The sequence below is a fragment of the Homo sapiens genome, chromosome 2 (genome assembly GCF_000001405.40).
Source record: "Homo sapiens chromosome 2, GRCh38.p14 Primary Assembly".
Lineage (NCBI taxonomy): Eukaryota > Metazoa > Chordata > Mammalia > Primates > Hominidae > Homo > Homo sapiens.
In genome coordinates this window covers 143,936,253-143,964,185 of record NC_000002.12, presented here as the reverse complement: position 1 = coordinate 143,964,185, position 27,933 = coordinate 143,936,253, and the positions used below count along the sequence as shown (strand labels likewise).

Here is a 27,933-nt window from a genome sequence, read left to right as displayed (position 1 = left end):
TCTTACTGGCTCATTAGAAAACAAAAATGTTTATATAATTACATTTTATTATATCACATTCTTGTTTATATTGTAACATTTTAATAATTTTGAATACATTATTTACAATGTTTATGGGCAAACCTTATAGCAGTCTAGTGATTTAACAAGTATTAACCTCCCCAAATTATAGCTGAGGAAATGACGCATATTAGCTCCATTTTAGTAGCATGCATTTGAAGTCGATTCTCAGTAGACAGAGCCATCTTCACATGATTCTTAGAAATGAACACATAGTTACTTTCCCGAGAATATGATTGAGAAAGTTAGTCTTCAAGAATCTGAAATTCAAACTGAAGGCTTCTGTCTCCCAGTCCTTTGCTGAAATAAAGAAAACAACAAAACATAATGGGAAAAGTAAGGAAGATTCAATTAAAGGTAGGCATATAAGCTCCTGACAGAAAAAGAATACATGCTAAATAGAAATGATGGTATCTCTTAAGATAATTTATGAATTTAACAAGACTCCAATTAGGGTGCCAGAATATTACTTTACATATCCTCACAAAGTGGTTCTAAAATCTGAACAAAATAAGTAAATGAAAGGGCAAACTAGCAAAGGAATCATGAAGGAAAACATGTCCTACCAAATTCAGAACATGTATGAAGTGAGAACTTTTCAAAGAGTACCATAGAGATTTAAAATATGAAAGTAAAAAAAAAAAACTAGGCAGAAATGGAGAAGCAGAAATACAACTTGTATATACATTTAAGAGCCCACAAACTTATGATAACACAATTTACTAATACACTTATCCCAGCTCAAAAACAGAGTATTTTTTCTTAGTGAAATCAGTTAATTGAATAAAATAAATGTTTATATGATAAAACAACAAATTATACATTTATAAGTAAAGGTTTGCAATAGCATCAACACATTATTATAAGTACAGTAATCTACTGAATTCTTACTCTGCACCAAGCCAGGGCTAGGCTTTTACTCTGATATCTCATTTTGTATGACAACAATCCCCTTAATAAGTATAATTACTTTCCCCTATGTATAGGTGAGGACACTAAGGCTTTAGTTAAATAACTTGCCTGAGGTCACACAGCTAATAAACAAAAGAGGTGATAATATCAGAAGAAATAAATACTAAATCAAATTTTAGGGGGGAAAACTCTCTAATTTTACCAGTAATGAAGTACATATAAATACAAAAAAAATTATGACCGAGCAGTTGCATTGAACAAAACAATAAAAGTAAAGACTTGTAACTAAGACTAGCCCACTTGTGGGGCAACATCTGCATGTATGGTGATGGTGATGCACATTATTTTTCCTGAACTATATTACTCTACCCTTTGTTTAACTCAGACATTTCACAGGAAATGTATCCCATGGAAATAATTCCAAGAAGGAAAAAAACAAATGACAAAAGTTGTTCTTGCCTCTTTCTCTTCTCTACTGTCCCATAGTGAACAGGTAACTAAGATCCTATTCTTTCTTGATCCCATGCCTCCTTCTGATTCTGTTGGCTCTTTTCCAGTTCTTGCCCTTTTCTTCTGGGCCCTTGACTCCTACAAAGGCTTCAGATTAGTCTCCCAGACTCTGGATACCTTGACACTGAGTTCATCCACTTGCTATTATCAGTGTTCTTTCTAAACCTAGAACATCCAAGAAGATAATCATAATAGTATAACAATAATAAGTGTTTGTGTCAGATTTTCTGCAGGATGAACTTAATTTCCTTTATAGCGGGGGAGGTTCTTCAAAATCTCACCCTAGGCTAGTTCCTCATGAATTCCAGTTATCTTTGCCATTTCCTGAATACAGCTGTGCCCTTACCCACCTCTATGTCTTGTGTTATTTGTTGCTTAAATTCCTTTCTTCCTCCCCATGTAGACACAGTCAAACCCTTTCTCCACCTGGCAAAATCCCAACTCTATACCTTCCTCTTCTCTTTCCTTCCTATTGTTTCATGGCATCTATACTCATTCCATCAGTTGCAAAGCATGTATCACACTGCACCATAGTGATATATATATCACTTATCACTTGGCTGCCATAATAGGGCCATGGTATAACTGACTGGAAGGCACTTTGTAGGTGAAGAGTAGAACTTTTGAAACAGCCCCACAGAAGAGGAGTCTGCAGCACTCCTGGTGGGAGTGCTATCCTGGCCCAGCTTTTATTGATACCCTAACAAGGATGAGGTTCCCATTCAGTACCTGTGAAGCTATCTTTTCCTTTCTCAGGAAAGGCTTATTAACTGGGCTGATACCCTTCCCTCCCAAATGCTCAGAACATTCACCAGCTGCAAGTAACTGGTAACAACTCACTCTCATTCCTCAATGTGTCCTGTGAGAATCCATTTTTTTCTAGGATCACTCCCAGGCATGCCAGTCCCTGGGCTTAAAGTCTACTCCTGCAGCTTCTGTAAGTAGAATAATCTTTTCTACTGAAACCAGAAGATCCATTGCCACTCTTAAGGCAAGATCATTTATCCATCCTACCAGGGAAGACCATGAAGATAATGAGTTCTGGAATACAGCTCCCAAAACATCTCTCAAGAAATTGTTCTCAAAAATTATAAATATGAAAACATCACTGAGGGAAAATGCTCTGTCATTTTCATAAGCTGTCCTCAAAGTTTGAGAAATGTGTACTTGGGAAAGACACAGGAAAATAAATTAATTAATGGAAAAGATCGACATTACTAGACAAATAGGAAATTGGAAACAGACCTTAATTTTGAAAGCCTGTAAAGGCATATGAGATTTAGGGTTGATGGGAGCTCTTAGGATGTAGTTGCTATACTTGGTTTTCAGTTCCTATAGTTGTATATGGTCATGATTTGGAGTGTGGTATGGTCAAAATAATATTTCCCCAGTAAAAGACTATGGGGGAAGGCCTGCTTGTTTTAATATTCCTGTTTCCTGCAATGCCTATCAGAACAGGAGTCTCTGACAGAAAGCAGCACAACAGGGAATGAGTATGAATATCTGGATCCAACTAGTGAGTTTTTCCAGCTATATCTCTCCTTGGCTAAATTGTTACATTTGTGAAATGGAAACCATCAGATATATGCTGCCATGAAATGAACACTGTCCTGGAATTTATAAGGCTCAGGGTCTAGTTCCAGCTCTGCCATTGATTAGCCATGTCACCTCTTTCAGCCTTACTTTACTCATCTGTAAAATAAAGTCATTCCAAAGAAGATAGAACTAGAAGGGACCTTGGAGATTTCTCAGCTTTTAAAATGCAGACTTAAAATTCCCACCCGCAAGGGGATTTTACTTAGTGACGCTTTCTGAAATGTGTATTATGAAACCCGTAAGCATAATAATTATACTTTTTCAATACACTTTGTTTTCTACCTGTATTTTTTTTTTCACTTTTATCATAGGTTCAGGGGGTTACATGTGCAGATTTGTTAAAAAGGTATATTGAAAACACTTTTTATTCCTCACCGTTCTGATGTCTACCTGTGCTGCCAACAGCAATTATTCCAGCTACCCTGGTGTGTGTTTTTTATCCTGTCATTGCCTCTCACTCGTTCTTCACCTTCAAGTATCCTATGGGAGCTTTTATTCTTTCTTGTTGAGTTTATCTTTAGGTCTTTGTGAGGCTGACTAAAAACACTCCTAAAGATGAGCCCATGTATCTCACCTTCTCTTCTGATCTTATCACATTAAGTACAGCCTCATTGTTCTGACTTTCCTGATATGGTTTCAGCTACCTTCCTAGCCTTACTTCAATCCTTGAACATTATATCCTGGACTGTAGCCTAGATTAGTCAGTGTTCCCTGAAGATGGCTCATATCTCACCATCCAGTGCCCCTCCCTCCTCCTTTATTTGTCAAAGCTCAACCCATCTTCCAAGAGTCATCTCACCCACTTTCCCAGGCCTCTCAAACACATGTACTACCTCCTCTCTTTGAATGTCCATGAGATTTTGTTGGCATTTTGCAGTGTACTTATCATACATACTTCAATAATAGAAGGCTCTTGAGAATAATGGCAGTTGTATCTGACACAACCTGATATGACCCAAAGATCCTAGTACAGCTGTGTTTTCAAACTTTTGACCATGATCCACATCAAGATATATATTTACATTGTGGCTCAGTATACCTATTAATGTAGACATATTTATAATTGAAACAAGGCTTTTATAATACATATTCTTACTACATTTGACGCACTCTGATGTTTTCTTTTTCTGATTTAATTTCTTTTTATGCTGCTCTAAATTGATTTCACAACCATTAGCCACAATTGTAAAAAACACCATAATATAGCACACTGCACAAAGTAGGTATACTGTTGTACACATTTAATTAAATTGACTCGGCTTTTTCCAAAATCATTATAGAAATATTACTGATTTGTGAATATATAAAATATATCCATTTTGATATATTTATTTAGATTTTAACTTTACCAAAAAAATATTTTATAACCTCAAAGTATTGCTGCTTTGGTTTTAATTTTACATGATCTGAAAAAGCAAATGCAGTTCATTTTTATGTATTTTTAAAGTAAGAAGATGAAGATATTTAGCTGTACGATAATTATCACTGTAATGACAAAACTCCTGAGATTAATGTATTTGACATACCATAAAATTGCTGTTTATTGAATGCTGAGTATGTTCCACACATTGTGCTAGGTGCTTCATATACATTTCCTTTAACTCTGTGACATTCCTCCAGGATCAGATATTATCTCCACTTTATAAGAATGCCAAATCAAACTGTACCATTTTACTCAGTGAAAATTCTTAGCAATAAACTAAAATCAGGAATTCTGATTTGGTTTTATTATCTTTCTTCCCACAAAGCTCCTTGTAATTTAGCAAGTGTTTTTTTTTTCCACAGTACATTTTAACTGTGTTCAGTGCTTATAAAAAATGTCAGACTGATGGTGTTGAGAATGAAAGTTGTACCAACTGATGAGTTAAGTTTCTTGATGTTCATTTTATGAACTTCATTAACTGAAAAATATAACAGAAAATAATGCTTTACAGTTCATTTTATCATATCTTAAAAGTTACATTGATTCTAGAAAAATAGAACGTTTAGTGTCTAGCTAGATACTAAGGACATAGTTGGTGTTCGATAATTGCTTATTGATTGATTAAACTAGTAAAGGGATATTAACCCTAAATGTTGGATTTAGATGAGGAAACTACTACTTAAAGGGGAAAAAAGATTTCCCTTGGCTTTGTTATTCTCATAGCCTCTTTCCACTGCACAATTGATGATAAGGTGTTGCCCAGACAGACCTGATTTAAGAATTGGTATTTAACTTTATCCCATTGATTATAAAGTGAGTCAGCAAGATTTAAGTGTTGAATAGATTCAAGATACAGTCACCTTTGAGTCAGGTGGAAACGTAAAAAAAAAAAAAAAAAAAAAGAAAGAAAGAAATAAAAATCACCCAAACTCTCTCTCTATAAAATGTTTTTGTCATAAAAGTTCTGTGTATGGAAGAATGTCCACACTCCTGTAGGATGAGAGGGCTCAACCATAGCACAAAGAAGGTTAAAGGGGCATTTACTGAAAGTGACAGTACTCTTTAGGTTCTAGCAACTATTTAAGGGGGGAATTTATCTGGTAATTACATTTCCCCCATAATTGCTGCTTTTACACTATAGATGACTGCACTCAATTTAGGTTGAATTATCTTACCCAAGACCTTGTCGACTGGTGAGTCTCACAAAAATGAGTGTCTTTCTCTATGGTTTTACACGCATGCATACACCTTCCTTCCTAGTTGTAATTTCATGTTTTCATATCTTGAAAACTTTGTATTTTACAATTTCTAAAATTAACCAGGACCAAGCTCTTCTTAACTGCTGCTTGCCTTTATTTCTTCTAGGCTTGTTAGCTTTTCTTGGATTTATTGCCTAAACTCTCATTTTCAGGATATGAAAAAATAAATCCCCGTTGATAGTTATGTCTACATTACTTAGAAAGTGGAAATTATAGATGACACATGAAATATTTATTTCAGATTTCCTTTGAACTAAGCCAATTAGAGCCCCCAAAAGGAACTCTAAATAGTAGTCTGCCCAAAATACTATCTTCTAAATATTTGAACTTTGCCCTTGGGTAGGAATTTCACCTTATCCTTGAAAATTAGATTAAGAAGGAATATTAAGATTTGCTTAAGTGAAATTACATTACTGGTGCATTTATTTTCATTCAAAGGGCTGATGAGCAGGTATCATTTTGACAGTGAGGGGCTTTCTCTCTCTTCTTTCAGAAGACCTCCCGTGGCATTGTCTAAACCTCCCTTCACTCAGCGACACATATTTCTTTGTTATTTCAGAACACTTTGCTTTTTTCACTCCTTCTAAGTGCCTGGAGTGAGCATCATTCATGGATCATTACTTTCCAAAGAAATTTAAGCACGGAATGCCATTTAATTTTTCCGAATGCAGTCCGTCATTAGGAATCTTAGCTGTCACTGCAATGCCATTTTTGGTGTGATGTGTTTGTTGCCTCATTTCTTTTAATTTTATCTCCATTAGCTTAATTCTTTTTTAATATTTTCATCTAACGAACTTTACAGTCCATTTTGTTTCAGTGTCTGCTAAGCGAGTTTTATGAAGCAGACAGTTGGCTTTTCATTTAGGGGGAGGGTGGCGAGGCGGGCCTTTGCTTTTGTCAGCTTTTTTTGGCACCTTAACATTTGGTTCTGCTTCTGTGCCTTGATTATAAAAGCAAACAACTCCAAGAAGTTCGTTAAAATAAGCAGCAGCTAATTAACCTGAACTTCAGATGAGACACTGCTGACATCTCATATCATTTTACACTATATTAAATAGATGAATATCTTTTTCTTGTTTTTAAAAGATATTTTTTCAGAGGCCAAAAAGGCATTGGGATCTTCTGTCTTACACTGGGGCTACTTACCCAGCAAAGATGACTATTTCCAAGTACTGTGCATGGCTGATGTTGTCATCTCAACAGCTAAGCATGAATTCTTTGGAGTGGCAATGTAAGTTCTTTCTGTTTGTGATATGTGATAAAGCAATCTCTAATCAGTTTTACTATGTGTGTTCGCTGTTATTTCAAATAATACATTAAAATTCAGTGATCAAAAGGAATTCAATTGACTATCACCTATTTTGTCTGTACTATACTTTTTGGTGATTGTTAAGGTAATCCAAAGAACTTGTTTCATTTTTCCCCCCACATACAATCGTATAAAGGCATAAGGGCCAGCCTTTCAGATGTCTTCTCAAGAGCCTGAATTAAACTTTCTGTTGTGGAGATGTGAATGAATTCATAATTTTTATTAGAACCTCCTCCCTTGGAACATACTGTGTGGATTCTTATAACTCCCATATATATTACCTGCCAATCAAGACAAAATCCTGAATCTAATATGGTTTTGGGAAAAAAAAATGATTAAATTAATGCATGATGGATGTTAATGTCTTGTGCACATGAACAGTCGATCATGTCCTCCCTATCATCATGGAGGAGGACATGAGGAATAGCAAGGCCCCAGATAAATGAATAAAATGAGCACTGTCTAATGGACTTCAGGTGGATGGGAGTAGCTGCTAAAAAATTTCTGAATGTAAAGCATAATAACATAATGGTCTTTTTCCTTACTGAATCTGACAAAAATTGAATCATTTCTAATAATTTTAAATAGATTGACATAAAACAAGCACATATATATTAAAAATAGGCCTCCATTTTCCTAGCAAATATGTGTATATGTGTAATATATATATAGCATATAATATACATATACAGATATATCTAAGTGTTTCTGTATATGTTTGAGAGAAAGCAGAACACCTCTAAGTCTTTGTCTTCTGACTTTAAAGCATGCATCATTGAGTCAAAGCCATTTGACTTACTCTATACCCTTTAGAAATAAATTTCACAAAGGATTACTTTAAAATCTCCTTCAGAATATCACCAAAAATTGTTAGAATCTTGTCAGCCAAACTATTCAAGATAATTTCTAAAGAGGCCTTATTAAAATGTATCCAAAGAACTTTCAAAAAGAGATGAATTCCATTAACTTGCTCTAGAAGAATACTCATCAGATACACAGAAGTTATCCAGGAAAATGCAGATAAATTGGGTATTGTAAATGGAGACACTTAGAAATGTGGCTAATTTTCTTTCTTATCCACTGAAGCAAACACAGGCTCTGAAAAGGACCAGGTACCAGGGTCCCTCCCCACAGCCCTGGGCAGATGGACCACTACCACTCGGCTTCACGCTGGCTCATTTACTTAGTGTTTTGCAATCCTTAATGTGCACAGCTGGCAGCTGAATGCAGGTTTGATACTAACAGTTTAGACATCTTTAGATGTAGCAGATGGAAAATTTTACACAAATAAAGTAGGAGAAAGTGTGCAATTAGGTTTTTATCTGCAGTTATGTGATGCATCCTCTGTTTTAGTTTAGAACATCACCTTAGTGGGTGGTCATGATCTTTTCTTGTATCCAGGCCCTACCTTCTTGACACCACATTTGATGTTGGCTAAATGCCCAAGTACCAAACTTTTGTTTTTGTTGAGTGTGATTGAAATAGGGAATGCAACAATCAGCAAAGCAAAAGGCATACCATCAGTGAGATTGTAACAGTCCAGTACATTATGGTTACATTCCTTGCTAGTTAAGTCACTATGGTAAAATCCTTGGCAGGATTTTTTTCAATAGTTTATTCATGATGTTCATTATTATGAGTTGTAAAGAGTATGAGAATTTCATTTTTAAAATGTCTTATGGAATGTATCACTTTCTTAGATCTTGTAGACATGCTGTGGAAACCATAACATAAAATATGAGTTACTTACAATAACTAATTTTAATCCCATCTGCTAAGTATGACAACATTAGCATTTCCACTTAATTAAAAACACCCTTAAAGCAGCAATGTTTTAATCACTCCATTTTATTTACTCTCCTCCGGTGTCACTTATAATTGTAACTTTTTATTTTTTAATAATGAGGGATTTTTTTTCTCCTTGCATCACACAAAAAAGTGCTGTCGATAATTAGCAGTCTTCTGTTATTAGTAGACTCAGGTGTCACAACTGTGTCTCATCCTCATTACAGTAAAAAATTTCACCTATCAGATTCATTATTGCTAGATAATGCGACTGAGAGCCTTTGCAGGCCCTCCAGAAAAGTAATTCAGCCAAGCAAAATTATCAGCTAATTATATTTAGAATCAAAAGCCCAACAACTATTTGCAGATAAATTGTATGAATTGAAGTGAATAGATCTGAATATTAAGATTCATAGATTTGGCAGATGATTTGTTAATTGGAATAAAAAGGTCATTTACTAGTCTTTTTAACAATAGATCAGTTGGAACTCTGTTATTTAACTGGTAGTGCCTAAGAATTGAAGTGATGAATAATTGTATTATTGTCATGAGATAATTTAAAAAAAATAAAATGAGAAACTTATGGAAATGAATTTTATAAATTGGTTTTAAAATACTATGGCCTATTTAATATATTTTAAAACATAGTCCTCATCTAAGTAATGTATATCATAACAAGTCAAAAATAGAACCAAAAGAGATGGTGGTTTTTTCCTTGATGAATTAGAAATATAACCATGACTAACATAATTTACAAATAGAAGTTGAAATCCAAAATTTGTAAATTTTTTCTTCCTAAATCAAATAATGCCATTTCTATCTTACTGTATTTTAATTAGCAGAGGTTTTTTGGAAACGGCATGGTACATATTCATACGATGACTCAAAATGTAACTTGGCCTGCAATTTTCTTTCGGGGAACAGAATACTCTAATTCAAATCCATTATTAAAAAGCAGATAACATGTGCACTCTCTGAAATGCCTATGACTTCACTCTTTTGATTTTATGTAATTATAAGAGAATGTTCATATGTATTTGCTTTTCGATTGGCACAGCATTTAAAAACTGAATGTCTTTAGATAAAGTGCATATTTTCTTTTGGTCCATAAAGAGTATCACTGGTTTATAAACTCAGAACTTTTGTAAGTGTTTTATAATACAGTCACAGTGTAGTTTATAGCTGTGCTTATAATAAGAATTTCTGTGTGTACCCTATGTATCAAAAAATATGAGGTATTAGTTTGCATTCTGAAATTAATAATTGGTAACCAGAACCTGTGCCTTCCCACTAGATTATTTTGTAACTTCTATCAGTTCTCAAGCAAAACTTTGAACTAAGTATTTTTCCAAAATTTGCAGCTCAAAGTAAATACTTTTCATTTAATTTCACTTAACATAGGAAAATAGGGAAAACATCAGCCACTTAAAAACAGCTTAAGTTTCATGTACTTCGTCACTGTAAATAAACAAGGTAAACACTGACATGACTTCAGAGTACTCTTGGGTTGAAAAAAATCTGCAGTTCAAAATAAATTTCCCCTTTGGTCAACATTTTGGATGCAATTCAAAGTTTCTCATAAAATAAACATATTTTAAAGAGTGTTTTGAATTTCACTGCATAATTTCTAGCCAACAGAAATGACAGTGGTATCTTTAAAGTTGATTATATGTCAGATCAATAGCTATTATGCAGGGCTAACACAGAAGGAAGATGCAATACCTTCCTTCTGCTTAACCCTTCTACTGTGACGTAAAGAAAAACTTCCCATAGGTGGGTCAATGGGGAAATCCTCTCACAAAGTGAAACTTTCATGTTTGTTTGTTTAATAATACAAGCATTCTTTGCTGATAAAATGGAAAGTGAGCTGAATTTTTAGTCAAGAAAGCAAAATGTTCATTAAAGTAATCTTCATGAGAGTTTTTCAACAAAAGGGGGAAGAGTTTTACATTCTGCATAATAACAAATTGTTTTGAAGCATGAGCTTAAAATGAAAATGCCCCATTACAACAGATTGTAAATTTTTTTCTGATGCTTTTAAAAGTTCCTCAATCTTTTCTACAGCGACAGTGCTAAAGTTAAGTATTTGCTATTTTATTTAAACATTTTTGAAAAATGAACATTCTGAGGCTTTGCAGCATTATTAAGAAAAGCTGTCCATACTTTACCATGTTGTTACATGTGTTTATCTGCTGATTATAAAATGTGTTAAACAGTATTTTAAAAACAAAAAAAAATGCAGAGCTGCGCTTTGATTAATTCAGTGAACAAAACATATGCTGTTGGTTCTGTTCTATGAAATTCATATATGATCAATAAAATCTTTTAAAAGAGCAACTTTGGCTTTTAGAATTATACTGCCGACCATGTTTTTTGTCCCAGTTAACTCTGGGCTCATTCAGTTAACTTAGGCAAACAAAACCACTTTCTGGCTATGATGGTAATGTCTTTTTAATATATTCTTACCCTCTTTCTAAAATTTTTCTAGGTTGGAAGCTGTGTACTGTGGGTGTTACCCACTTTGTCCTAAAGATTTGGTTTATCCCGAAATATTTCCAGGTAGCTGCTTTAATGTACATTCATCTTTATTGAGATTTAATATATGATTCATGCTAAATTAGAAAGTTTGAAAATAAACTTAGGCAGGAGCAATTGTTTATTTGGCAAGTCAACATGTTAGTGTTAAGGAAAATTTTATGTGTTTTAATACATTAGAGTAAGCTTATATTTACCATCTGTTCTTTTAAGATAACAAAAAAGCAAGTTTTCAAATAACATTCTTCATTGTTAGCATACACATCCCATAATGATGGATTTTTATAAGCAGGTCAGTGTTGCTGCAATTGCTTACAGATTTTTTTTAATGATACACACAGAAAAATCAGGGACTGAAAGTCACACCAAATTATTTAAACAATTGACTAGTTAATAATATGCAACTGTTGTACGGGTACATAAGGCTATAGTACCAGTTCTTTGAAAAAAATCTCATCACTAAGTATATCACATATGCATTGTGTTACATTAGAATAATGTATTTTAATCACCCAAAGGAGATGTCTAAACAGCACAACTACACAGTCTTATTTAGCATTAAACATCCTTGTGAGCTGAGGTAACCTTATAAAATCATGCTTAAATAATGTAAAACACGAGGCGGCACAGAGCAATATGCATTTTTAATTAGTAAAGTGACTAATATCGAGTGTGTGCTTTGAGGTTTTTGTTTCATTAAAAATGTATCTGTTTTTCCTGCAGCTGAATATCTGTATTCTACACCTGAACAGCTTTCAAAAAGGCTCCAGAATTTCTGCAAGAGACCAGATATTATAAGAAAACATCTCTATAAGGTAGTTATTGAGAAGAGATTTACATGGTATAAATGCCATATTGAAGTACAAAGAAAAATCTTAAAAAAAAACATTTAATTAACATACTAATGTTTAAAGGAAACATGCTAGGGAGGGATATTAGTTGTTACACTAACAAGGATTAATTAAACTGGATGCCAGTTGTATTAACCTAGGTCTTATGAAATACGTGCACTTAATGCACAGTACATGCTTTTTTAAAATTTACTGTTTTCTAAGATGACTGTCCTTTACATTTAGCCCCTAGAGGCTTATAAAAATGAACCTGAATTAATGTAACTCATTAGTTTAAAAGGAAGTAAAGGAAAGATTCTACAATTATACTAATGAGGATAAGCCTTTCTTCCCATCATAATGAAATCTTTAGTCCTCAAAAATTCAGGTGAATGACATTAGTGAAGTTTGGTGTTCATTTTTGAACTACTTGAAAGGTGATTTTTAAGAATTGAATATTTCTCGCGTCCAGTTTAATAAAAATGACATAAAAAATCCTCAGTTTCTTTAGAATAAGAATGTCAGTCTCATCTCTGAATGGCAAAGGGAAAATAGTGTAAACAGCATCATCATTCACTACCCTCATTCGTTATCTTCTTTTCTTTATTTGAATCAAGAATTTTACATTGTTGAAATAACAACACAAAGAGGCCCTACTAAAAGTCTAAGTAATTGAACTAGGATAAATCTGCTTTATGAGTTTTGAAGGTGGCTCTAGGCCATAAGTAATATACCTTTTTATATTCTTCGAATGTAGCATCTTCATTTTACATAACTCCAGTATAGTTTACATCTAGCAGTTTTATAATCTAACATATTTTAATTTTCCTATGTTAATATATAACCTTCTACATGAAATACAGTTCTCTGCCTTTTTTTTTCTCCCTTCCCTGTTCGTAGCCTAAAATACATATTTACATAGTGATACATCAAAACATGACTTTGTTTCTACAGGAAACAGTTAAACTTCAAGAAAAAGAGAGAGAACCAAAAATGCAATTTAACACCCAATTTCAAGCTCATTATCTTTCATTGTCTATTAACTTGGCAATGGTTCAGAAGGTAGCTCATAATAGTTTAAAATGCTGACTGAACAGTTCCAGCTTCAGTATTACTCCTTGAGTCAATAGTATTGTATTGTATACATGGGAAGCTCCACAGAGAAAACAGTCGTTCAAGATTTACCTCAATATTTCCTAATTTTTAAAGTTCAGTAGTAGTTTTGTTTGTATGAAATATCAATCAAATAGTTTCCCATGTGATAGACTGTCAAAATATGCAGATAATGAAAATTGAGGAAATATAAGTATTAGTACAAATGAATTAATTTTTTATATATGACACAAAGCTATTTTCAGTGAGTTCTCTGTCAGATTATTGATTTTTTCCCTCTTTGGATGAATTTTTGGTAAAGTATTTGTAAATGTGTTTCCACCATCAAAATTTATCAGTTTGTAACATTGCTTAACCCTGTTATTCTGCATCTGCAAATTTTAAACCTCTGCAAATTTTTAACCATTTCAAAAGTCACTGCAAAAAGTTGCCTCTAGTAAGAAAAGAAAGCAGATGTCCAGTTGAAATATTTTCATTCAGCTACTGCCATAACATAGCTATAATTATTTATTTTACAAACAGCTTCTGAAAAAAAGAATGGCAGCTTAGTGGTATGTTGTTAATATACCAAATTGTTCCTCACACAGTTTAAATGATAACCTATATCTTAAATGTTATTTCATTGAGCTGTTACATGTTAGTACTTAAATATATTTTAGTTCATACACCATAAAAACCTGCATCTCAAAGTTTTATAAATTAGTAATTCATGCAAAAGCATTTATAAGAGCTTATTTATATAATTCATTTTTAAGCATCGTCTACCATGGATTTTTCTCTTATAAATCTGTAACACATTTTCACATTTGCCTTCATCCATAGTGCTTAGTGATATTGTCTAAAAATTAATTTCAAAAATTAATAAATTAGTCAAATTTTAAGTAATCAAGAGCTTTATGATACAATTATTAGGAAAAACTGGCATGTTGCAAGGTATAGAGTTAAAAGCACAGGAAGGACCACAGATTTAGTTTGTGTGTTGTTATAGGATTTAAAGCTAAAACAGAAAAAAAAATGCCTTCTAAACCTTTATAATAATGATACAACAAGTTATTGTAATTTTTTATCTTGTGTTTTATAAATAGACACATTTTCAGGTAACATTTGCTTTTACTAAATACTAGAGAATTAGCATTTTAGCTTTTACCTACTTTTCTTATGCAGTCGGAGAGGATCTTTTGTGAGTACTGTGAAAAGAATGTTGGGAGTTATTTTTAGATTTATTTCATTGGACAGTGCTGTTTTGCTTTTATAAAACATATGCTTCTAAGATCTAAAAGGATAGAATGTCACTGAATTCTTTAATTTGTTCCTTTTACATTTTTACACCTTACTCTTTTTTTGTTGTTAAAAGTTTACATTTTAAAATCATTTCAACTTCTTATCATATAGAGTTCACTTTAGGATAGGATTTTTCATATGGATTCACACTTAGAAATTTAATGACTAGAATAAGGCTACTAACACTTGGCTTTCTTCTCACATCAGACATTATACTTTCAATATGAGTGAGAGTTTGGGGTATAACTTGAAGCAGGATTTGAAACAGAATGCTAGTAAGTGAAAAGCAGAAACAGAATTTACTTTTTTTCTTAAAGTGACTCCTTCTATCGCAGAACACTTGTGTCCATGACTTCCCACCTGAAATAGTTTCAGACCTGAAATGTTTAAATTCCTCATTTGCATGTATGTGTGTACTCGCTCAGTCTCTTTCTCTCTTATACACACACACACACACACGTACACTTGGCTTAGGATTGTTAGAGAAATCCAATACATGCAAAAATTAAATGTTTCTTAATAATTTTAAAAAACCTAAAACCATTTTTCTTAATTTAAGGAAATATAAAATCACTTCTTACAAAGTTTATGTCTACAGTTGAGTCATTGACTATAAACTTGTATTGTCGAGACATGTACTTTTTCAGGTCAGGCAGATGCACTGGACACATACTTCTCACAGAGATAAAACAGGGAGCTCTTCGATGACTCCTAAGCCTAACTTGAACACAAGTTTCTAGAAGTAATCATAAAAGAATCAGCTAAGGATTGACTCCTTAAACTAACAATAGTTCTTCCTTTCTAACCCAAGCAAGTCTAATACTGTGAAGTTGTATTTTTTTGGCCTCACTTTTATTATATTATGTGAATTTACTTATGGAAAATTCTCAACAATTATTTGAGATTAGTATTTCATGCTTTTAGAGAACCCTGATCATTATATTTTTAAATGCTGTTGAAAGACATTTTATAGCTATTCCCTCATTACCAGTATAGAAATGAATATAAGAGTACAAATAGGGCAGTTGTGTAAGGTAGACATTATCCAGACTGACAGAAGAGATTTTCATTCCCATCCTATTTTTCATTTAGTTTTATTTATAAATTGAATGGTATTCTCTGGTTTAAAAAGAGAGAGAGATGCCATTCTTGCTTTTTGAGAGTGACTTGTAGTTTCTTAAGATTTTTCAGGTGATAGCTCCTGATTTTTTTGTTTTCCTCTTCAAGTTCTTCAACATTGACAAAACTTTTATAATCTTCTATTATTTGGAAGGGAGAAGAATTTTAGAGTTCTGCCGGAAACTAATTCCAAACAATAATTAAGCTTACAATTCACACTCATTGCCCAGAAAAGCCATTTGTGGTTATCTTGATTATGTCAAGCTATATGTACCTGAACCACAGACAAGCTACTTTGTTTCCTTCAAGAAACTGGTCACCTTATAGTCCCCTTTTAATTTGAGCTTAAACTCTAGATTTGAATAAGGTGTTGCTCACTAGTTTTAATACTGCTCCAGAGTCCTTACTTTTTCCTTAAACATGAAATGTTTGTGATGTTCTAAGAACTTCTAAAAGCTCTCAACTGCACCAGCACAATTAAGGCAAATTCTCAGTCTCAGTCTCAGTCTCTCACTCTTTCTCTCTCTCCCTCCTCTGCCTTTCCCTCCCTTCCCTTTCTTCTTCCCTCTCTTCCTTCCTTCCTTCCTTCTTCACCTCCTCCTGCAATTTTATTTGGTCTGGCTTTCCTCTGATTTGTCTAAATAAAATAAAAGGAAAAAACCTTTTAGCATCACAGATATGCTTTGGCTGATTAAGATCAGTTAGAGGTTTTGTCCTTCTCTGCTACTCATTTGCAACCTGATTCTAGGTGATCTTCTTGGCCTCTATGTGATTCATCTGTAAACCTGGAAGAATATTTTTTTAAATATCAATGTACCCCTGAAGTACTGGTATAATGAAATAATGAATATAAACCTGTTATAAATATGAAGCACTTTTTAAATTTCACATAATAGTAATGGCATTTATCTTTGTGTCTTCATCATTTAAAAGTAAAATTCACGGCAGAAACTTGTATGTACAGTGTTACGTGTCTTGTGTTTATATAAGTTAAAAGTTGGATGATGAACTTTCATCATCCAACTATGAATGGTTGTCATTCATAACATAAACCAAGAAATATGTGTGCAGCAGAATATACCCATTTGCAGAAAACAGTAGCCTTCTTCTCTGGTTGGAAATACAACGACACTTTAGACCAATCAGAAACTGAGATTTCCTGAGGTGATGAAACTCAAGAACCATTTACTTGGTGGCTTTTTGAAATGTAATTGACGTAAGTGATGCAAATTTGCAATATAAATTTTCAGCATACTTTCATCTTTTAGTCATTAATGCTCTTCACTTCTTTCTCTTCTCTCCCTCCTCCTCGTTGCAGGGTGAAATCGCTCCGTTTTCTTGGGCAGCCCTACATGGTAAATTCAGGTCTCTGCTTACAACAGAACCTAGGGAAGATTTGTGACAGATGGGGCTAAGTCACAAACTTGCAGCCTAAGGCAGAATCTGAAGAACTTTCCAGAGTGTGCCCATATTTACCTGATCAGAGAGAAAAGAAAATCTGCAGAGGAAGCTGAGCCTGGCTGCTTGTCATAGCTGACACAGAGCCATCTGCCACAAACCTGTGGCGGCTTCAGATCTCCAATCCCTGCCACCACCCCAACTCAAATTAAATACAGATTCCTAGAGACGTTATGATGGTTACACATGTCCTCGGCATCACATGTAGGAGACTGTTCAAAAAAAATATGTGGCCTGTTGTATAACCGCACTCATGTATCCCATATGTGGTGCCACATTGAATTTCCGGTTGAATCCGTTTTTATCCTTTGTACTGGATGACATGGTGCCTGAATTCTTTCTTTTCGCCGACACGATGGCAGCCAAACTGCAGCTTCAAACGCTCACACTTGGCTGGGTTTCTACCTAGGTTGCCAGGTTATCATCGGAGCCTTCTTGTGTCCTCAAAGGGCCACGAGGCCTGAAAGGAGGATCAGAATGCTTTGGGATTAATTGGGCAGCCATCGCAGAATTGTTTGTGGGCAAAGGGCTGCTTTAGCACTTTTCTTTTAGCAAATTAATGACTCTCAGGCACAGGGGGTTTTAAGTGAAGGTATTAATAAGAGGTCTGGCAGGTATTCCCATGATTCACAGAGTTACATTTGCATTTAATTAATCTTAAAGTTGCAAGATAAACAGCTGTAATTCGGACAAACATGACAAACACAGTGAAGCCAACTATCCCATAAAATGAACACTGACATACTTGTTTTAATTTTTTTCCCAGCGTAAAAATAGAAAAATCAAAATACTCCTAACAAAACCAGTGATTTTGATAGAAATATTTCTCCAATATACTTGCATCCACCTACAAATATAACCTTTTCAAGATAAATCGCTTATGATTTCAATAGTCAAACTGCTGTGTTTGTTGATGTAAAGATGTTTTGAATGGCTAGATGGTAAAATAAATTCTTAATAAAGTACCCACTGCAATTTTTAATTAGCATATTCATTTACATATAGATGTATACATCTACCTATGTGTTTCTCACTGAACGTTTTCCTTGTGACAGAGACAACAAATACAATTGTTTCTTTTCCGGATGAACAAGGATCTGTTTTGCAAATGTTTGTAAGATATTATGACATTTCCAAGATTTTCTTTGCATTCTGGAAAGCAGGAGGTAAACATTTGTAGTCATTAAGGTAAAGTCTGTTGATAAACCATCTTCTGTTTACTGACAGGTAAATTGTAACTTTCCCTAGCTTTTGAAATGAGTAACTTCTATACACCACAAAGTGAGGCACAGCCTGGGAAAGGTGGCTAGACAAGGGGCAAGCCAGGCTTTCTAGCTTCTGGAAGGATCGAGTGGCCTAGCAGGCATCTAAGATAAAGAAAGCAATGATTCGGAAGTCCAGTAGGGCCCATTTGACCGGTAGCAAAATCGAAAGCACGAAATAGATCAAGGTTAGGGAGCCAGACAAAGCCCTTGGAAGAGAGGCAGTATTGCAGATCGAAGCAAGCAGTTCAGAGTCTATGAGGCCTGGGAATTTAAAAGCAGGAAGAGTAAGAAGCAGAAACAAGAAGCTCCATCTGAACAGACTCCTCTCTCCAACCTTCATGAGACCCACAGTGTGTGATGGGCCACCACAGCACTGGCTTCTAGACTTTTACAGGGAAGCCAGTGAACAAATTACCTCGTCACCCAGAAAACAAAGAGCTCAGGAACTATTTTGGAAGTTCCTTCCAGTCTAAGACTATGGAACTCAGAATCTAGCAGGTGTGTTCCTTTGGATAGCAAAACTAAAGATATAAATATGAATAAGAAATTCTTTGCCACTTCTCCTGGGCAAGGTTATACTTTATGCCATCTACTGAGATAAACCAGATGAGTCAGTTTGCTTCTGTCAGTTGCTGTGTCACAGATGACATCTTCTCAAAATAATATTATCTCACAGCCAAGAAATAGCGCTTCGTTTACTGTGTTTTTCTATCCTGAAACTAAATGGGCTTACGCTTCATAGTGGCTAAGATACTCCACACACAACTAGTACCCATAGATCTTTTCTCACTGATAGGAAAAAAAAAAAAAAAGCATTAAACACCTTTCAGAGAGTACATCTGAAACATTTACGTATTTTCCTGATTTAGGCAAATATAATATTGAAAGTTACCTGTATGTGGGCATTTTTTTCTACACTCATAAATGCAAATCAAATTTTGCCATTAGCTGTGGCCAACATTCCTTCCAGGACAAAAGCTTACATTAGGCCGGGTGCGGTGGCGCACGCCTGTAATCCCAGCACTTTGGGAGGCCGAGACGGGTGGATCATGAGGTCAGGAGATCGAGACCATCCTGGCTAACACGGTGAAACCCCATCTCTACTAAAAATACAAAAAAAATTAGCCAGGCATGGTGGCGGGTGCCTGTAGTCCCAGCTACTGGGGAGGCTGAGGCAGGAGAATGGCGTGAACCCAGGAGGCGGAGCTTGCAGTGAGCCGAGATCGTGCCACTGCACTCCAGCCTGGGCGACAGAGCGAGACTCTGTCTCAAAAAATAAATAAATAAATAAATTTAAAATAAATTTTAAAAAAATTACATTAAAGGTGTCACTTATTTGCATGATACCGAGATTTGGAGTTTAAAGAAAAACCTTATAAAGACTGTAATGTCAGAGTTGCTACTAGTTCACATAAGCAATAAAAAGTTTTGTAAATGTGTAATTCTTAACATTTAAAAATATGTAGGAGTGTGTGTGTGTGTGTGTGTGTGCACACGCACATTCATGCTTCTCAACACCCACGACCTAGTGGAATGGAGTGTTATTAAATAAGTTAATCAGTATTTTGTTGAAATCTCAGCAGATAATTAGTACTACACGTTGACTCATTAATTCAGTTTCCCTTATCAACCACCCCCATCATTTATTGTTTTGAGTATGTTTGATGGAAAACTTAGTCTTCCTCTTTTTTTTTAACACTCGATTGTTTTTTTCTTTTAAAATAAAGTCAATTTTAATTTTAAATGTCTTTAAAAGTCCATCCATTATCAAGACTTTGACACAGTGTCTTGAAATACAGCTTGCCCTAAACTTAATCTATGCTTCTGGCTAGGTGTTTCTATAACAAATATCAGGGCACCTGGTTCTTAACCTTCTCATTTATACTGTGTTGACAGAAATAGATGCAAATACCTTTTTAAAAATGCTCCTGGTTTAATAAGCATCCTTCAAATACAGTTAAGTTTAAATGCCCTGCTCCTGTTCTCAGTCCTTCAGACATCAATATGGCAGGCAGAATCCATAAGTCAATGGAAACTCTTAGCCATAGAGGGCTGCAGAGATTAATTTCAACACCTTGAAATGCATCTGGAAGCAAAGATTTCATTTTATGTTGAAGGTGTTAATTATATTTGATATTTTTAAAAGTAAAATCTGTTTTTGAGAAAGCATCTGCTACCCAGAAATATTATGAGCCACAAAAGAAATTTTACTGAAGTCTCAAGATACTTTCTGTGGATGATAGAATCAGTTTTCAAATGATAGTCCATGCTGTCTTTTAATGCTGACATACACTGTGGGTCTTATTCTTCTATTGACTATTGACCCAACTGCCTTTCTTTTTCAGTGGAAAATTTGGGACTATTTAATATTAGATCTTATGTTTAACAATGAAGAGAGTATATTATAAACCACTGACTTGAACATGTTTCATTTTAAAATTTGAGTTGTGATACAGACAACTAATGCTCCTATCCTATGCCCTCTCTTCAAAGCTATTCATTAAAATATAACTGGGGAAGTTTGAAAAACATGCGAGCAATTCTACATGCTGCTCAAAGATACAGACATGTGTGATTAAAGTACAGTATTACAGAAAACCTGGGAATTAACCAAACTTACAATAATGGTTATGTCAGAGGGGCCATGGTAGAGAAAAAAAAGGACATAGAAGTAGGGAAAGGTGCATTCGTTGCATGATGAGAAGTCTGTTTCTTAAGCTGAGTCGTGATACACAAAGGCTTCTTGCCACTCTTTGTGACATTTCATGTGTCTTCAGTGTATTTATTGCATATATCTTTTGATAGGAGATATAAATACTTCAGGAAGCATGTTACTAGTTTTGCTATCAGGCTATCCTTAACATTTCTTGGTTTTCTCAATTATTGATTGAGTCAGAAAACTGCTTGCCTCAGACAGTGATACAAACTACTCTACTGCCAATGTTGCTTGAGAAGACTTTCCTCTGCTTAACAGGAGCCAGGGGCTTCACCTCAACCCTCATGCTGTGGAGAAAGTCAGACTCAACTGGCCACAGGTTCCTGTTTCTTGGGGCTGCTAATCACCATTTCTAACAGATGCCTGTGGCATTGCAAACACAAGATGGAAAACTATAGCTCTAAACTCCCTTCTGAAGGGTAAGGAAAGGAAGAGGAAGGCAGATGTTAAATGAGCCCAGTCTTTCTCATCTCAAAAAATTCAGAGCTGCCTGTTAGAGCACAAGAGCTCTCAGAGCTCCCAACCACACTGCCCACTCCCCATAGTGTTGCCTCTCCCCTTTCCTCTTTAAGACGCAGGAGCGAATCGTGGTCTTTGTGCTTTCACTGCAATCTATCCCAGGGGAAGAGTTCTCCCGGGTATCTGTGGGATGCCCTTGCTGCATGTGAGGCACAAATGGCTTCAGGGACCAGGATCCTCACTCACTCTGCAGTCCATTTTTCTAAATTGGAATTTGCGATCGGTTTCTTCAGGTGTCCCACCATCATCTATCATTATCTGAGTTATTCCTTATCCTCTCCCAACCCCAAGGAGAGGATCTTAATTGTTTTTATAAACTGACAGAAGGAATTGGTGATTCTTGGAAGATAATTTTAAATGGTTATATTACTTTCCTATTACTGCATTTACTGCATTTAAATAGCAGGTCTAAGGTGGGGTGCGAGAAGATGTGACCCCTAGGAATATTGGTATGACCTTTCTCAAGCAATTTGAAGTCCTTTAGATCTGAAAATTTAATGTCTTCAATATCATTTCACAGATGAGAAAATTAAGGCACATATAGTGACATATTTAGGAGCTGAAGTGTGTTACAGAAACAAAGTTTTTTTGTATAAGCCTTTCCCTACATGGGATGTTATCATTGTCACCTATGTGCCTTTCAGGAAGCACCAAGTGCAGTATGCGTGACTCAGTTGGACCCCTAGTTCCCTTCTATTTCTCCAGCTGGCAGGAGACAGCAAAGGACAGTGGAGGTGGTTATTTTGTGGCCCACATTTCTGCCATTAAAAGGGACATAAGAGACTATGTAGTGTGGCCAATTTTTTTTTTTTTTTTTTTGAGAGAGAGAGTCTGGCTCTGTCGCCCAGGCTGGAGTGCAGTGGCACCATCTCGGCTCACTGCAAGCTCCACCTCCCGGGTTCACGCCATTCTCCTGCCTCAGCCTCCCGAGTAGCTGGGACTACAGGTGCCCACCACCACGCCCGGCTAATTTTTTTGTATTTTTAGTAGAGACGGGGTTTCACCATGTTAGCCAGGGTGGTCTCAATCTCCTGACCTCGTGATCCACCTGTCTCGGCCTCCCAAAGTGCTGGGATTACAGGTGTAAGCCACCATGCCCGGAATATGGCCATTATTTTAAGTGTTTTTATTATTGCTCTGGTTCTCCCTTTAGGGAGGCATTCAGTGAGTATACCCCATCTGTCACAGGCCCCCACCACTCCCTGTGGTCTTACACTCTGCTGAATTCATACATTTAGGTAACTTCCCTGGCCCTCCTGAGAATCACTTATTTTTGTAACCTCCTGTATTTGAGATGTAGGAAACTGGGGCCTGAGGAGAAGTTGACTTGCCTTGGGTCCCACAGTGGTACAGGCAGATCTAGAACTCAGATTTTCCAGGGCTCTTTCAGTAGGCTGTGGTTGAGCAGTAGTCAAGACCACCTCTTCAAGAAGGGAAAAACATTTGTCTTCTCTTTCTCCTCTTTCTTCCTTCTGCCTCTCACTGTAAGAAGAAACGTGTTAATAAGTTGCTAATACCTTACTCTAGGTGTATTTCATGTTACACCAGCCAGTGCTTGTATTCTCAATGACCATAAGGAGAGGAATGCGGAAGAATTGATTTCTGTACTAAAAGTTCAGACTCTGTGGCACTTGTGATATTTCTGGACAACTGACTCTTCTCTATTGCCTTTCGAATCATACAGTGGCAAAGCTGCTCACCCATGTGTGTATAAAGCTGACCCTTCATCAGAAAGGCAGCCCCCAGTGTCTCCCCACACAGGGCAGAAGAGCAGAGGGAGCAGGTGGCAATGTGGCAGCACCTTGAACTGTGCATCACTGGGCCTGCTCCCCCTCATCCCAAAGCAATAACCCAGAAATTACATCCTGAGACTTACTTCCTCAGAAAGAAAAGGAAGGGGAGGGATAACTTAAAAAGGAGAAACTTCTAATATGGTATTAGACTGTAATTCATAGGGAAATTTATGCCTGAGATATGAATTTCTGAAAATAAGGGGCTTTTTTGGAAGGGAAACACTGACACATCCTTAATTATAGAGTAATAAATACCAATGGTATATTATCTTTCGATATTTCCTTACACAGATATCAAAGCATGCAGCTGTTTTTGAAAACTGATAATCAAGTACAATATAAGTATATTACATCTTGCACTTACAACACACCCTTCAACTAAGCAGCATCATGGAGCACTTAACGGTGAGAAACAGAGCTGCTCATAGTAGAAACCTAACTGAACAAATTAGCTTTGAATTGTAACTTAAGAATCGTAGTCAAACCAAAGCGTCTGTCCTTGCCAGGAAAGGCATTCCAAAGGCAGAGAGCATGCCAAGTAAAAAGGCTTTGCTTCAGGATTATGGAGACAGTTCTGAAAAGCCAGCATAACTTAATGATCAATCAGAAAAATATAGAGCAGTAACTACACAACTGAAGGATGCATAAAAATTGTACAAAACGTTAATAGTGGAATGGGGAGGTAGGATGGGATTTTACGGGCAAGTATTAAGCTCTTGGAAAGCTTCATTTGTTGCCCTCAATCCACACAGCAGAAAGAAAGAGAAAGAGACAAACATGGTCAAAGAAAAGTATGTGGACAAATGTGGGGGGTAGAAAAGGAAATGAAGGTTAAGCAAGGCCAATATAATTCAGAATAAAAGGGAGGGAGGGAAGTATAAGGAGCCAGCTGTAATTACTGAATGTTACATTAAGAAGAGCTGAAATTGAGAGGGGGAGGTCTTGAGTATTTTACTAAGTGGATTAATGTCCTCTTCCTCGGGTGTCTGAAGTTGCAGATTTTAATTTATTTGGTGCAGGGATTTATTACAGAATTCTTAATGGGTGGGGAGATAAACAGGGACAATTATAAGCTCTTAAGAAGAAGAAAAGAGGACCATATAATACTTTCTATAAATTTAACTGTAATAAACAGGGTTTCAAGCTATGGACAAAGATAGTCAAAAAAAGCATTTATTCCATGATATAGGACTAAAAGGGAAATAAGAGGTGTGTCCAAAAAACTTAAAGACCAAAACAAAGAAAGAAAAACCCACATAGATGTGTGATGCCAGGATTTTGAATGACTTGGGAGCTAGTTATTGCCGCTCTCCTTTCTCCACCCATTTAAAAAAATAAATCATAACTCTGGCATTTAAAAACCTACTCATGAACATCATTTATTAATATAAACTTAATCCTGTGCTATTCTTTGGTGGGTGGTAAGAACATGAATTAACAACAACTGGACTAAAACGATGGCAACAGGATGATCCACTCAAACACAGGAAAGCTGTAAGAAAAAGAAAAACTCCTAATCTGCTCTTTCACCTTACTTATTTTACAGAAGGAGAAAGCCAAAAAGGGGAGAGCATGTGGCTAAACCACAGAAAGACTAGATGCCTAAAGGAAAAATTTTAAAGTGTTCCTAAATAGGTATTAGAAGGGGAAGGGGGATGTAAAGCTTATGTGATTTACATCATTTTGTTAATCTGCTAATCTACTTCCCTGGAAGGTGAGAAAGAGTGTTGTCTGCCTTCTGCAATTGAAGAGACTAGGGCAGAAACTTAATTATGTTCTTACCCTGTGTATACCTGGCTGTCATCTGGCTGGCAACTAGTCCACAAACTATTGGTTCAGGCATTTGCCTGGCAATAATGTTAGCCATCATTTAAATTGTTAAATATGGATCAGAAGATCTCTAAGAATTACTGATATGCAGCTATTAATACTGGATGTAAATAATATTATTTGGGGTGTGGGTAAATCATTTGACTGGAACCACATTTAAAAAAAGGACTTGGAAATTTTATTTTTGAAATGCTGTTGGGGAGATGGCATTGATGAAAAAAAAAATTGAAAATGGAAAAAAACATCATCTACAAAGAGATGGGTAAAAATGACTAAGCAAAGAAGCCTTGTCACCTTCGACCTGATGCTTCATTGTATCAGAAGAAAGTAAACAGATTGCTAACAAAGAGACCACCCCTTCTAATTTCCAAAACCGGCCCAGCAACAAGAGGGAGAAAATAGAGAAGAGTGCACTGCGTGGTGGCTCAGGGTGATCCTTTAATTTGAGTGTTAAAAATGAGGGCACAGACCTAGAGGTTTTTAATGGTCCGCGGGTGGACTTCAGATTCTGAACACTCCTCCACCTTCTGTGGAGAATTCGGGACACGGTGGAGTTTAACCAGTATCTTAAATCCCAGGGACAGGGTGGAGATTGCTTTGTGATCCTGATTAATTAAAAGGAAAGAAATCAAAGCAGACATCTCTCCTTTTTCCATTTGAGCCGCAGAGCCATGGAGGGGAACTTGTGCTCTCTGGTGCTTGCAGCTATGTTCCCTGGCTTTCATCGTCTTGGCTTTTCCCCTTGTATTTCTAATGCTGTGATACCAGGCCAATAAAATGGAATCTACAAAACTGCAAAACAAAATTGTGTGTATGTGTGTGTGTATTAGAATTTTACTGAAGATAATTGCAACACTTTAAGCACAAAATTTTTAACTTAAAATGTATGAGTAATGAAGTTTTAAGAAGCAAAATGTGCTCAAGCGGAGTATTTGTAGTCCCTTTTTTGTAAGAGGTTCCCCAGACCTCTGGGTGCATCAGCAAACTGTCCTACACGATGGAGCGTGCAGCTGCAATTTGGCCCCGGGCACCACCTATCCAGAGTTACTACCTAATGCATTTTACATTTGCACACATTGTCAAGGGGTGGGGGGCAGCTAAGAAGGGGCCTCCCCCCCACCCCCCAGCGTTCTGTTTCCTTTTGTCGCGGCCGTCAGCTGACACGTGGAAAATGTGGTGTACGGTTTTGTTTGCCTTTTATCTGTAATTAAGGATCCCTTGTCTGGGGCTTGCTACCTCTTTTCTTTCTGCCTCCCTGCCGCTCGGGTCTTCCGCCCTCGGTCAGGTCTGGCCTGGCGCACCGCAGCCTGGGGACTCCGGGTCGCCGGGCGGAGAAGCAGGCAGTGGGCGCAGGGACCTCCGCGGAGCCCGGCGCTCGCCTGCCGAGAGAGCGCACGCCCCGGCACGCCGGCCCCGGCTCGCCCGAGCCCCCGACCAGCTAGTGCCTTGCGTCGGGGCAGCTGCGCCCGCGTTGCCCAGAGCGGGTCGCCTTGCCGCGCGTCCGTTCCCTCCACACCGCTGCGCCTGAGCGGCCAGCGAGCCCGAGCTCCGGTCTGCGGCGGCGCCCGCCCTCGACGCCTAGCTCAGTCTCGTCCAGAGCGGTGGGGGGAGTTTTCTGCACCTTTCAGGCGCGGGAACATGTCGAGGGACGGGGGAGGACGTTGAGGTCACGAAGTCATCACCCACTCCTCTCGGCTGCGTGGGCGCTGCGGGAGCGCAGAGCCGGAGCACGAGGGGCTCGTCCCAGGGCGCGGGCCCCGCCAGCCCCTGGCGCTCCCACCCGCGCGCACTCCCTCGCACACCCGCGCTGGCACGCGCACCCTGGCGCGCGAACTCCCTGCCACGCGCGCGCTGTCACGCACACACACCGGCACGCACCCGCCACGCTCGCGCCGACACTCCCAGGCTGGCACACGCACACGCGGTGGGGACCCACCCCTGCCCGGGTTTGGCTGCGCCGGGCTCGCGTGCTCTCTCTCGGGCACCCCCGGGAAGGGAGCGCAGCTCGGTGGGCCGGCACCCTGTGCTTTATGCGTCTGAGGATTTCATTGAACTCGGTTCCCTGAGTCGGCCAGGCTCAGTCCTCAGCGAGGGAATACGATGAAGACGCACTAAGCAAAACCAGAAACACCGATGCCTACTACCTTTTCAAAAAACATAACTTGCCCTCAGCAATCCCGCGAAGGGGAGTGGGGATGGGCACGGGGACTCTCCGAAAGGGATTTTATCTACACAGTTTAGAATAACTCCTGTCTCTGGTATGTTCGGATATGTGATTTAAATCTCACCCCCCGGACGCTTTCTTTTTCACTTCACACCTGTATATTGAAATACAAACCTCATTTCTCCTCCTCACCACCAACTGGTTATTTAGGAGGAGTGGAGAAGAGGAGTTAAGCAATATTGGGGCAGGAGAATATTTAGAAGCATTACATTGATTTGTCACTCATTTGCTCTGATTAGCTTTTTGAAAACTTGTGAAGATATTCCTATTTTGAAGCTTGTATTTTGTTAAAAGCCTCCCTCACACTGCCGTGATTTATCATTATTTATCTGAGTATACACACGTATGTATAGGAGAAAAGGAATGCTGATCCTTCCTGATTTCAGCAGTGCCGTT

At 37.1% G+C, this 27,933-nt stretch overlaps 1 protein-coding gene and 1 long non-coding RNA gene across 64 annotated transcripts in view, besides 2 other annotated features; one reads left to right on the top strand and one right to left on the bottom strand.

Annotated features, from left to right (window-relative positions):
* QTMAN (queuosine-tRNA mannosyltransferase) overlaps positions 1-26,118 on the top strand; it is a 395,002-nt gene extending 368,884 nt beyond the window's left edge. For 40 of the 63 annotated variants that reach the window (NR_164801.2, NR_164808.2, NR_164807.2 and 37 more), the window contains 4 exons: positions 6,847-6,991; positions 11,343-11,413; positions 12,113-12,204; positions 17,051-26,118. Coding sequence is in view for 51 of the 63 variants with exons in the window: in NM_001376325.2 (NP_001363254.1) it covers positions 6,847-6,991; positions 11,343-11,413; positions 12,113-12,204; positions 17,051-17,134 (392 nt within the window). In the remaining 12 variants the exon portion in view is untranslated. The remainder of the gene's footprint in view (positions 1-6,846; positions 6,992-11,342; positions 11,414-12,112; positions 12,205-17,050) is intronic. The other 23 variants (NR_164799.2, NR_164802.2, NR_164803.2 and 20 more) reach the window with 5 other exon arrangements.
* On the bottom strand, positions 30-27,119 carry QTMAN-AS1 (QTMAN antisense RNA 1). The gene is made up of 3 exons (NR_110237.1): positions 26,550-27,119; positions 23,022-23,172; positions 30-360 (listed from the first exon to the last, which is right to left on the bottom strand). It is a non-coding gene; the product is annotated as a QTMAN antisense RNA 1 (long non-coding RNA).
* Positions 26,618-26,817: a silencer, noted in NCBI's record as "silent region_11990". NCBI's record gives its function as "represses an Ori minimal core promoter by ATAC-STARR-seq in GM12878 lymphoblastoid cells {active_cell/tissue: GM12878}" and the evidence as "EXISTENCE:reporter gene assay evidence [ECO:0000049][PMID:35858748]".
* Positions 27,012-27,695: an enhancer, noted in NCBI's record as "H3K27ac hESC enhancer chr2:144694058-144694741 (GRCh37/hg19 assembly coordinates)". NCBI's record gives its function as "activates a minimal SCP1, AML or CMV promoter by ChIP-STARR-seq in naive H9 embryonic stem cells {active_cell/tissue: H9 hESC(naive)}" and the evidence as "EXISTENCE:reporter gene assay evidence [ECO:0000049][PMID:30033119]".